Genomic DNA, 13089 nt, shown 5'->3' with positions numbered 1-13089 from the left:
GGCACGGGTATACCAGTGGACTTCAAAGGGTACTCAGACTTTGTTCTTAAGGGATCAATTCCCAGATCTTCAGTTTCATATAAACTCTTTCCTAAAATTGACTTGCCTAAAAGCATGTTAGTGTTGTGGGCACAGCTTCTCTTTTCTTATTTCTGCTTTTACAGTCATCCTTTTTCCAAAAGGAAGGTATACATATCCTCCTTGTCTAACAATGGCACATTGCCCCAGGGTGTAAAAGAGGCCAGGGGTGACAAGCAGAGACACAATTCAAAGCATTTGTATTAAGAGAGCAGTAACTCCAATGCATTATTTTGCAAGTCACATTTTTTTGTTTTTGTTTGTTTTGAGACAGGATCTCACTCTGTTGCCCAGCCTGGAGTGCAGTGGTACGATCTCTGCTCATTGCAGCCTTGACCTCCCTGTTTCAAGGGATCCTTCTGCCTCAGCCCCCTAAGTAGCTGAAACTACAGGCATACAACACCACGCCTGGCTAATTTTTGTATTTTTTGTAGAGATGGGATTTTGCCATGTTGCCTAGGCTGGTCTTGAACTCCTGAGTTAAGCTATCTGCCCACCTCGGCCTCCCAAGGTGCTGGGATTACAGGCATGAGCCACCACACCTGGTTTTAATCTATAATTTCAAAGTTAAAATTTTTTTAAGTCAAAACTATGTAAAAAGTTATGCTTAGAAAAGTCTAGCTTCCTCAGCTCTATCCCTTCCACCTATTCCTTCCTCTGTCCCCCAGAGATAACCTAGTTCATTATTTTTGGTACATCTCTGTTTCTTTTTCTTTTTTTTTTTTTTAGATGCAGTCTCACTCTGTCGCCTGGGCTGGAGTGCAGTGGAGCAATCTCAGCTTACTGCAACCTCCGCCTCCCAGGTTCAAGCAATTCTCCTGCCTCAACTTCCTGAGTAGCTGGGATTACAGTCACCCACCACTATGCCCAGCTAATTTTTTGTATTGTTAGTAGAGACGGGGTTTCACCATGTTGGCCAGGCTGGTCTCGAACTCCTGACCTCGTGATTCGTCCACCTCGGCCTCCCAAAATGCTGGGATTACAGGCGTGAGCCATCATGCCCAGCTACATCTCTGTTTCTTTTTGCAAAAATAAATACATATATTTGTTTTTGGACTAATGTAAACATACTGTTAACTGAAATAGTAAATGGACTGTACTGTTAAAGAGAATCTATTAGAGTCTTGTTTGTATTTCTTGAACAAAATTATCTTGCTCTATATAGTTCTTTCTTTCCATATCAATTCACAGAAATCATCATTGTCCTTGCTCTGTTTTTTTTTTTTTTTTTTTGAGGGTCTTGTTCTGTCACCCAGGTTGAGTGGCATGATCTCACCTCACTACAGCCTCAACCTCCTGGGCTCAAGCAGTCCTCCCACCTCAGCCTCCTAAGTAGCTGGGACCACAGGATGTGCCACCATACCCAGGTAATTTTATTTTTTGTAGAGATGACATCTCACTATGTTGCCCAGGCTGGTCTTGAACTCCTGGGCTCAAGCTTTCCTCCCACCTCAGCCTCCCAAAGTGCTGGCATGACAGGAGTGAGCCACTGTGCAAAGCCTGTCCTTGTTTTTTTAATAGCTGTGCAATACTCCAGAGTGCTGATGTCCTATTATTCAACCCAGTCTCTTGCTGATGGACATTTGAGTTGTTTCCACATTATTGCTATTGTGTATAAATAACTCTACAATGAGTAGTCTTATGCTTGTATTGTTTTATATTTGTCAAGTTGTATCTTCATAGTAAATTCCTAGAAGTTGCATTACTGGGCCAAAAGATAAATAATATATGAGCATTAGGCTGGGCGCGGTGGCTCACGCCTGTAATCCCAGCACTTTGGGAGGTCGAGGCGGGTGGATCACGAGGTCAGGAGATCGAGACCATCCTGGCTAACACGGTGAAACCCCGTCTCTACTAAAAATACAAAATATTAGCTGGGCGTGGTGGCGGGTGCCTGTAGTCCCAGCTACTCAGGAGGCTGAGGCAGGAGAATGGCGTGAACCCAGGAGGCGGAGCTTGCGGTGATCCAAGATCGCACCACTGCACTCCAGCCTGGGTGACAGAGCGAGACTCCATCTCAAAAAAAAAAAGGGCAAAAGGGCTAGCTGTGGTGGCTCACACCTGTAATCCCAATACTTTTGAGTGGCTGAGGTGAGCTGATCACTTGAGCCCAGGAGTTTGAGACCAGCCTGGACAACATTGCAAAACCTTGTCTCTACAAAAAAATAAAAAATAAAAAATAGAAAAAAATAATCAGCTGAATGTGGTGGTGTGCACCTGTAGTCCCAACTATTTGGGAGGCTGAGGTGGGAGGATCACCTGAGCCAGATAAGATCAAGGCTGCAGTAAGCCATGATCACATCACTGCACTCCAGCCTGGGCGACAGAGTACGACTCTGTCAAAAACGAAAGAAAAGGAAAGGGAAAAGGAAAGGAAGGGAAAGGAAAGGGAAAGAAAGAGAGGAAAGAAGAAAAGAAAGAAAAAGAGAGAAAGAAAAAAGAGAAGGAAGGGAGGGAGGAGGGAGGGAAGGAGGAAGGAAGGAACGAAGGAAGGAAGGAAGGAGAGAAGGAAGGAAGGAGGGAGAGAAAGAGAAAGAAAAAGGAAGGAAGGAAAGAAGGAAAGAAGGAAAAGGGCTCCATGCAGCATTTACCTAGCTTGCCTTTCCATCTTTTGCCCTGTGAGGACACAGCAGGAAGGCCCTCACCAGACCAAATGCCAGTTACTTGAGCTTAGACTTCCCAGCCTCCAGAGCTGTGAGAAATACATTTCTGTTCTTTATAAGTTACCCACTCTGGGGTATTCTGTTATAGCAGCATAAATGGACTAAGACAATGGGCAAAGGATATAAGCAGGTAATTTTCAAAAAAGAAAACATAAGTGACCAACAAACTTAATGAATGTATGTTCAACCTCATAAATAATCAGGACATATAAATAAAAATAAAGAGACTATTTCATACTCACTGCACTAGAAAAAGTATTGTTTATCAGTACCTGCAGTCATCATTCACAGACATTCAGATCCTAAAGGTAGGAGTGGGAACTCTTTGAAGTTAGATGTGGTCACAAGACTTGTTAAAACAAGTGTGAGCCAACTAATTGTGAGCAGAATTGATATCGTCACTTGTGTGCAGAAATTGGGAAGAGCCAAATTTGAGCCCTTTAGTCAGTTTTTTCCCCTACTTCATTGAAGCAGGTGTCAGGATGGAAGCTCCATCAGCCCTGGTCCCTGAGTGACTATGATAACAAAACTTCATGAAGAAGAAATAGACCGTTGAATTAAGACACTGAGATTTTTGTGATTGTGTTACTGTAGCATAATTTAGTTATTCTGACTGATATAACCCCGATTTTTGGTGAGGAAACAGAACAACTGGGACTTTCATATGCTGCTTGTGAGCCTAAGCTGGTACAACGCCGGAGAAAACTTTTTGCAAATGTTTAGTCAAGTTCACAATGTGTATACCCATGTAGGCACAAGAAAAATGAGTGAAAGTTTTTGCTACAACATTAAAGAAAAAACTGAAAATAACCTCAATGTCCATAGACAAGAAATATATATTAGTAGATTAATAGAATACATTACTACTGAGTAGCTAAAATAAACTTAAGCTACCTGAATCAAAATATATAATTCTCAAACAGAGTCTAAAAAATTGCATGAGGATATGTATAGTATGAGGTCACTATATAAAGTAAACATAGCATATTATGCTGTAGCTACATAAAATATGTAGTAAAAGTATAACAACATGCATGGGCATAATAAGCATCAAATTCAGAGAAATGTTCACTTCTGGGAAAAGAAGAGGATGCAGGATCCTCGGTGATAGGGTATTTGGAATGTTTTATGTCTTATTTCAAAACATCAAATGCTACTATGTAAAAATGCTGGGTGGTGGGTACCTGGATATTTGTTGTATTATCCTCTGTACTTTTCTGTCTACTTGAAATACTGAATAATAATTAAAAAGAAAATACAAGCAAGCAAAAAGAAAAAAAAATATCTATAAGGCTTCCTCTCCTGCTCCAACTCTGAAATCACCTTAATTAATATATCGATGTAAATCTGTCCAATGTTCTTCCATATCTTTGTGTCTCTGCCTCACCTGGATAGGAAGAAAAAGGGTGGTAGTTCTTCAGATAACTACAGTAAAGACAGTGTGCAGAGTTTAGCAGGCTATGTACTCTATACCTTAATTTACATATTTAGGAGATGTCGTTTTGCCAACTTAAAAATATTTACTAAAAGGAGAAACATTTCATTATTATTATTATTATTATTATTTAGACAGGGTCTCGTTCTGTTGCCCAGACTGGAGACTGGAATACAGTGGCATGATTATCACTCACTACAGCCTTGACCTCTTGGGCTTAAGTGAGCCTCCCACCTCAGCCTCCTGAGTAGCTGGGACTACAGGCATACACCACCATGCCCCGCTAATTTTTTTTTTGTAGAAATGGAGTCTCACTATGTTTTCCTAGGCTTGTCTCACATTCTCAAGCGATCTTCCTACCTTGGTCTCCCAAAGTGTTGGGATTACAGGTGTGAGCCTCATTATTATTATTATTATTATTATCGTTGTTGTTGTTGTTGTTGTTTTGGAGACAGTCTCATTCTGTCGCACAGGCTGGAGTGCAGTGGCGTGATCTCGGCTCACTGCAACCTTCGCCTCCCAAGTTCAAGCAATTCTCTGCCTCAGCCTCCCAAGTAGCTGGGATTACAGGCACCTGCCATCACGCCTGGCTAATTTTTTTTATTTTTAGTAGGTGCAGGGTTTCACCATCTTGGCCAGGCTGGTCTTGAACTCCTGACCTCGTGATCCACCCACCTCGGCCTCCCAAAGTGCTGGGATTACAGGCATGAGCCCCCACGCCCAGCCTAGCCTCAGTATTCTTTAAGAGTTTGCATCAGTTTGCTTGCCATCATCTTTTTTTTTTTTTGAGACATAGTCTCGCTCTGTCGCCCAGGCTGGAGTGCAGTGGCACCATCTCGGCTCACTGCAACCTCTGCCTCCCGGGTTCAAGTGATTCTCCTGCCTCAGACTCCTGAGTAGCTGGGATTACAGGCGCATGCCACCATGCCCAGCTAATTTTTGTATTTTTAGTAGAGACAGGGTTTCACCATGTTAGGCTGGTCTTGAACTCCTGACCTCGTGGTCCACCCACCTCGGCCTCCCAAACTGCTAGGATTACAGGCGTGAGCCACTGCGCTTGGCTGCCATCACTTATATTGATTTGTTTAGATTCTTTTTTCTTTTTTTTTTTTTCAGACGAGTCTCGCTCTGTTGCCCAGGCTGGAGTACAGTGGTGCGATCTTGGCTCACTGCAACCTCCACCTTCCAGGTTCAAGTGATTCTCCTGCCATAGTCTCCCGAGTAGCTGGGACTACAGGCATGTGCCACCATGCCCAGCTAATTTTTGTAGTTTTGGTAGAGACAGGTTTCACCATGTTGGCCAGGCTGGTCTCGAACTCCTGACCTCAGGTGATCCGCCCGCCTCGGCCTCCCAGAGTGCTGGGATTACAGGCCTGAGGCAATGCGCCCAACCTTGATTTTTTTAGACTCTTTAAACTTTTTTCCTTTCTCAATTTTCAGAACTATAAGAGACTTCTAAATGCTTAGAGAACCTGTGTTATTAATATACAAAAGCATGACTCTGAAAACAGGCAATTCTGGCACTGAAGAGCATCAGATTTAAACTCCATCTTGTAAGTGGTTTTCTTTGTTCTTTTTCTGCTTTCTTTCCCTTTTCATATTTGCTTTCTATAATTCCCTACGTATTTTAGCTATAATTTCTCTTATCAGCTATTTCCCAGTATTCTGTTTCCTTCTACAAATGATATACACGTGGGCTGAGGCAGGCCAAACTTAGAGCTTAATGTGGTTTTCCTGCACTTTTAGCACCACCTAATGATAGTGCTCTGGTATAAAGAATCTATGCTTTCCTGATTTTTTTATGCTCCTGAACACATTTCTAGCTGTGGCTTACAGTGTTGGTCTTTTAACGATTATCATGTCACATAACAGTATAGTTTTCAACCTGTCTGCACAACAGAGTCACCTGGTTACCTCTAAAAAATGCTGTCATTAGGCCCAAATCCAGAGCCACTGTCAGAGAGGCATTAACTCTTATTCATTGGACAAAACTAGATGTCATTTAAAAGTACTCAGTTCCATCACTTACTGGGAAGAGTCAGCTTTCTTCCCTTGGTATATAACTACATATACTTATGGTATTATATGACTAATCATGGCTAAAAATGAATACACTTGAGAGATCCCTTCAAGTACTTGTTCGTGATATATACTAATTCTGACAGTTGCCTACATTTCTTTCTCTTAATTTTTTTAAATTTGGGCAAATATATTAGACACATAAAAGTGCCATGATTAAAACAACCAACAGTTATATCTGCCATTCAAAAATGAACTAAAGTCTGCAACCTCCGCCTTCCCGAGTTCAGGAGATTTTCGTGCTTCAGCTTCCTGAGTAGCTGGGATTACAGGCGCGTGCCACCACACCTAGCTAATTTTTGTATTTTTAGTAGAGACGGAGTTTCACCATGTTGGCCAGGCTGGTCTCGAACTCCTGACCTCAGGTGATCTGCCCACCTTCTCGGCCTCCCAAAGTGCTGGGATTACAGGTGTGAGCCACCACTCCCAGCCAAAAAAATATTTATTTTTGAGTCTCGCTCTGTTGCAAGGCTGGAGTGCAGTGGCGCGATCTCAGCTCACTGCAACCTCCACCTCCCAGGTTCAAGCAATTCTCCTGCCTCAGCCTCCCAAGTAGCTGGGACTACAGGCATGTGCCACCACACCACCAGCTAATTTTTGTATTTTTAGTAGAGACGGGGGTTTCACCATGTTGGCCAGGATGGTCTCAATCCTGACGTTGTGATCCGCCCACCTTGGCCTCCCAAAATGCTGGGACTACAGGCGTGAGCCACCGTGCCTGGCCAACAATATATTTCTAATATTTCTAATAGAGCAGAAGAGCTGGTCACAGAAACAAGACCAATAACAACAAAACAATGAGAACATGAGACTGCTAAAGTGTGCCAATGTTGTGAGCACAATACCACACAGAAAGAAGAGGTCAGCAGCTTCATGAAAGAGGAGATTTGAGCAGGGCCTTGAACAAGGGAACAATTTCAATAGGCAGCAAACAAAAGGCAACCATCTAGGTGGGGGAATAACGTGAGCCAAGCCAAAAATGGGAATAAGCACAATACAGTTATTTCTAAAAGTCTTTCATGTGGTCTACTAATAATAGCTAACATTTTTGAGCACTTACGATATGTCAAGCAGTATTCCAAGTCCTTTCATGTATTAATTCGTTTAACACAGCAACACTGTCATCAAGAGCACACTGCTCAAACCACTTTTTCTGTTGCTCTTAGACACAGTGCCGTCTCTGGGTCTCAGTTTGTCTGTCTGTAAAAAAGCAGATAATAACACTACCCTATGCATGATGGATATACACACCCAGGCAAACACAAGAAGAGATTAAACAAAATGATGTAGCTGTTAGGATAAATTGGTGAGATTGTGGGTTATATTTCTATTACCCAAATGCAATTTGATGCAATACTGGCCTTTTTGAAACAGTTTTCTTGCAATATAATCCACATATCATACAATTCGCCCATTTAAATGGTACAATCCAGTGGTTTTAAGTATACTCTCAGACTTATGCAACCATTACCACAATCAGTTTTGAACATTTTCATCACCTCAAAGAGAAACTCTGTAACCTTTAGCTATCATCCCAGGTGCCCATATCATTCTTCTCTCTCCTTCCCTAAGCAACCACTAATCTTGTCTGTCTCTATATATTTGACCATTCTGGACATTTTATAAAAATGGAATCATATGTGACTTTTTGTGATTGTCTTCTTTCACATAGCATGTTTTCAAGGTTTATCCGTGTTGTAGCACATATCTACTTCATTCCTTTTTAAAATTTTTATTAATTTTTTTTGTAGAGATAGGGTCTCGGTATGTTGCCCAGGCCGGTCTTGAACTCCTGGGCTCAAGCAATCCTCCTTCCTTGGCCTCCCAAAGTGCTGGGATTACAGGCATGAGCCACCATGACCAGCCTTCATTTTTTATTGAAAGTGAAATTCACATAAGAAAATTAACAAAAGTGTACAATTTAATGACATTTAGTGCATTCACAATGTTGTGCAACCATCACCTTCATCAAGCTCCAAAACATTTTCATTACCCCAAACAAAAACCACACATCCATTATGCACACATCCATTATGCAGTCACATTTTCTTCTCTCCAGTCCTGAAGAATTTTTTTTTTTGAGACAGAGTCTTGCTCTGTTGCCCAGGCTGGAGTGCAGTGCAGTAACGTGTTCTCAGCTCACTGCAACCTCCACCTCCTAGGTTCAAGCGATTCTTGTGCCTCAGCCTCCCAAGTAGCTGGGATTACAGGAATGCACCACCATGCCCGGCTAATTTTTGTACTTTTAGTAGAGACTGGTTTTCATCATGTTGACCAGGCTGGTCTTGACCTCCCGACCTCAAGTGATCCACCCGCCTTGGCCTCCCAAAGTGCTGGGATTACAGGCATGAGCCACTGCACCTGGCCAGTCCCTAACAATTTATAATTTGCTTTCTGTTGCTATGGATTTACCCATTCTGGATATTTTATATAAATAGAGTCATGCAGCGTGTGATCTTTTGTGTCTGGCTTCTTTCACTTAGCAAAATATTTACAAGGTTCATCCTTTTTGTGACTGATTAATATTCCACGGTATAGACATACGACATTTTCTTTCTCCATTTATCAGTCAATAGACATTTGGGTTGTTTCCACATTTTGGCTATTGTGAATAGTGTTGCTATGAACATTTGTGTACAAGTATTGGTTTGAGTACCTGTTTTCAATTCTTTTGCGTATATATCTGGGTCATATGGTAACTCTATATGTTTAACTTTTTGAAGAGCTGACAGGTGGCTTTTCAAAGTGGCTGCATTATTTTACATTCCCATCAGCAGTGTAGAGGGTTCCAATTTCTCCACATCCTTGGCAACATTTGTTGTTATGTAGCTTTTTGCTTATAGCCATTCTACTGAGCGTTAAAGTGATATCTCACTGTGGTTTTGATTTGCATTTCCCTGATGGCCAATGATGTTGAGCAACTTTTCATGCGCTTACTGACCATTTGTATATCTTCTTTGGAAAAATGTCTATTCAAGTCTTTCACCATTTTAAAAATTGGGTTATTTTTCTTTTAAATGTTGAGTTGTAGGCATTCTTTATACATTCTGGATACACGTTTCCTTATCAGATACATACTTTGTAAACATTTTCTCACATTCTGTAAGCTATCTTTTCACTTTCTTGATGTTCTTTGAAGCATAAAAGTTTTTAATTTTGGTGTCCAATTTATTTATTTGTTTGCTTGTTGCTTGTGCTTTTATTGTCTTATCTAAGAATCCTTGCCAAATCCAAGGTCACGAAGATTTACCCCTATGCTTTCTTGTAAGAGTTTTACAGTTTTGACTCTTACATTTAGGTCTTTGATCCATTTTGCATCAATTTTTACATATGGTGTGATGTAAGGATCCAACTTGATTATTTTGCATTAGCCTGTCTAGCTATCCTAGTGCCATTTGTAGAAAAGACTATTCTTTTTCACCCTTGATGAAAATCAGTTGACCATAGAAATGTGGGTTTATTTCTGGACTCCCAATCCTGTTCCATTGATCTGTATGTCTATCCTTATACCAGTACTGCACTGTCTTGACTATTGTAGCTTTGTAGTAAGATTGGAAATGGGAAAGTGTAAATCTTCTAACTTTGTTGTCTTCCAAAATTGTTTTGGCTATTCTGAATCCCTTGAGTTTTCACATAAATTTTAGAATCAGCTTGTTAATTTCTACAAGGAAGAGAGTCTCTCACAAGTCTCTCTGCTAGAGACTGTGGTGAATCTGTAGATTAAGTTGAGGAATACTCCCATCTTAATAACATTAAGTCTTATGATCCATGAACATAGAATGTCTTTCCATTTATTTAGATGTTAATTTCTTTCAACAATATTTTATTTGAATGTTTTCAGAATGTTTTCTGTTTCTTTTGTTAAATTTATCATTAGGCCTTTAATTTTTTGATGTTAAAAGTTGTTTTCTTAATTTCAATTTTAGATTTTTCATTGCTACTATATAGAAATAAGTTGATTTCTTCATATTGATCCTATATCCTGAAGTATTGCTGAACTCAATTATCTGTCCTAATTTTTTTTAGTGATTTCATAGAATTTCCTGCATACAGGATCAGGTCATCTCTAAATAGATACAGTTTTACTTCTTTTCCAATTTAGATGCATTTTATGTCATTTTTTGGGCCCAACTGCTCTGGCTAGATCCTCCAGTACAATGTTGAATAGAAATGTTGAGAATGGGCTTGTCTTGTTCCTGATCTTAGTGGGAAAGTATCCAGTTCTTCACCATTAAGTGTAATGTTAGCTGTGGGGTTTTTGTAGATGTCCTTTATCAAGTTGAGGAAGTTCCCTTCTATGTTGTTAATGTTTTTTACCATGAAAGAATATTGGGCTTGTCGATTGCTTTTTATGCATCTATTGAGATGATTGTGAGACTTTTTTTTTTTTTTTTTTTTTTTTTTTTTGAGACAGAGTCTCGCTCTGTCACCCAGACTGGAGTGCAATGGTGTGATCTCGGCTCACTGCAACCTCCACTTCCCAAGTTCAGGCAATTCTCCTGAGTAGCTGGGATTACAAGCATATGCCACCACTCCTAATTTTTGTATTTTTAGTAGAGACAGGGTTTCACCATGTTGTCCAGGCTGGTGTCGAACTCCTGACCTCATGATCTGCCCGCCTCGGCCTCCCAAAGTGCTGGGATTACAGGCGTGAGCCACCACGCCCAGCTGATTGTGAAACTTAAAAAAAAAAACTATATTGATACAGTGTATTACATTAATTTTCAGATATTAAGTCAACTTTCCATTCCTGGAATAAATCTCCCTTGGTCATAGAGTATAATTATTTTTGTATGTTGCTGGATTGTGCTAGCGTATGTTGAGGATTTTTGCATCTATATTCATAAGAGATACTGGTCTGTAGTTTTCTTTTTCTTGTGATACCTTTGTCTAGTGATGTCTGGGCTTTTCTTTGTAGGTAGTGTTGGACAGTTAGTTAAATGTCTTTAGTTGTTATAGAACTATTCATATTTTCTCTTTCTGAGTCAGTTTCAGTAGTTTGTGTCCTTCTAATAATTTGCTCATTTAATCTAAGTTATCCAATTTATTGGCACACAATTGTTCACAGTACACCTTTATAAACTGTAATCCCAGTTGTTGCCTGGAGCAACAACTGAGGAAATAATTTAAAAATATATAGTAAAAAATCATTTAAAAATTAATGTTACATCAGAAAATATTTACTTAATGCAAAAGAAAGTAAAAGAGGAATAAAGAAACAGAAAAGATAGGAAGCATGGAGAAAGCAAAAATTATATATATTACCATACATACATCTTAACATCAGAGTCTGCTTCACATTTATAATAAATTCCAAAGAGATATAGAAATATTATTCCTATATAGCTCCATTCCCTGTTTCCTCTTGTGGTATTGTTATACATACATATGTTACAAACCCAGTAACACATTGTTATAATTTTACTTTTATACTTTTTTAAAAAGCTGAGGGAAGAAAATGGAGAAAAAATATATTTATAGCTTTTATTGCATTAGCCTATATATATTTATAGCTTTTATTGCATTAGCCTATAAATATATATTTATAGCTTTTATTGCATTAGCCTATAAATACATATTTATAGCTTTTATTGCATCAAATTTATTTCTCATTTCTGGTTCTCTTCATTTGTTCCTGTATTACCACTGGGAGTCATTTCCTTAGTCCAATATAGCTTTGCTCCCATCCACCTCCTTTGTTCTGTTATTGGCAAATATATTACATTTCTTTGGTATAGTCCCAACAATAAAATTATATACATATTCAATTGCTTTTTAAAATTAGTTAAGAAAAGAAATATGCATGTCGTCTTTACTAATGCTTTGTGTGTGTATTACTGTCTAGAGTCATTTGTTTCAGCCTCAATAACTTTTTTTCTTGTTTTTTTTTTTGAGATGGAGTTTCGCTGTTGTTGCTCACGTTGGAGTGCAGTGTCATGATCTCGGCTCACGGCAACCTCTGCCTTCCAGGTTCAAGTGATTCTCTTGCCTCAACCTCCCGAGTAGCTGGGATTACAGGTGCCTGCCACCACACCTGGATAATTTTTGTATTTTTAGTAGAGATGGGGTTTCACCACGTTGGCCAGGCTGGTCTCAAACTCCTGACCTCAGGTGACCCACCTGCCTTGGCTTCCCAAAGTGCTGGGATTACAGGTGTGAGCCACCGTGCCCGGATGCCTCAATAACTTTCTTTTAGTATTTTTTGTAAGGTGGGTCTGCTAGCAATGAATTATCTCAATTTTTGTTTATCTGGGAATCTCTTCATTTTGCCTTCATATTTGAAAGACAATTTTTGCTGAATGTAGGATTCTTGGTTGACAGATTTTTCTTTGAGCACTTTGAATGTTATCCCACTGCCTTCTCCTCCTTCGTTTTGGAACAGGATCTCCCTCTGTCTCCCACACTGGAGTGCAGTGGTGTGATTATAACTCACTGCAGCCTCCAACTCCTGGGCTCAAGTGATCCTCCCACCTAAGCCTCCCAAGTAGCTGGAATTACAGGTGTGTGCCACTATGTCTGGCTATTTAAAAAATTTATTTGTAAGGCCAGGCACGGTGGCTCACGCTAGTAATCTCAGCACTCTGGGGGGCCGAGGCAGACGGATCACCTGAGGTCAGGAGTTTGAGATGAGCCTGACCAACATGGCGAAACCCCGTCTCTACTAAAAATACAAAAAATTAGCTGGGCATAGTGGCAGGTGCCTGTAATCCCAGCTACTTGGGAGGCTGAGGCAGGAGAATCACTTGAACCTGGGAGGTGGAGGTTGCAGTGAGCTGAGATCGCACCACTGCACTCCAGCCTGGGCAAGAAGAGCAAAACTCCATCTCCAAAAAA

At 40.2% G+C, this 13089-nt stretch overlaps 1 protein-coding gene and 1 long non-coding RNA gene across 4 annotated transcripts in view; one reads left to right on the top strand and one right to left on the bottom strand.

Moving 5' to 3' along the window:
• Positions 1 to 1407: 1407 nt before the first annotated feature.
• LOC105374759 (uncharacterized) lies at positions 1408 to 12187 on the top strand. Its single transcript, XR_940137.1, has 3 exons — positions 1408 to 1445; positions 5617 to 5729; positions 12151 to 12187. It is a non-coding gene; the product is annotated as an uncharacterized LOC105374759 (long non-coding RNA).
• The window catches only part of SANBR (SANT and BTB domain regulator of CSR), a 72162-nt gene continuing 62632 nt past the window's right edge, over positions 3560 to 13089 (bottom strand). For all 3 annotated transcript variants that reach the window (NM_001330433.2, NM_001330435.2, NM_032506.4), the window contains exons 21-22: positions 7316 to 7455; positions 3560 to 4128 (exon numbers count right to left, since the gene is read on the bottom strand). In NM_001330433.2, the coding sequence (NP_001317362.1) occupies positions 7360 to 7455 (96 nt within the window). In that variant the 3' untranslated portion in view covers positions 3560 to 4128; positions 7316 to 7359. The remainder of the gene's footprint in view (positions 4129 to 7315; positions 7456 to 13089) is intronic.

Source organism: Homo sapiens, chromosome 2 (genome assembly GCF_000001405.40).
Source record: "Homo sapiens chromosome 2, GRCh38.p14 Primary Assembly".
In the NCBI taxonomy this organism is placed as follows: Eukaryota; Metazoa; Chordata; class Mammalia; order Primates; family Hominidae; genus Homo; species Homo sapiens.
This window is presented reverse-complemented; position numbering and strand designations above follow the sequence as displayed.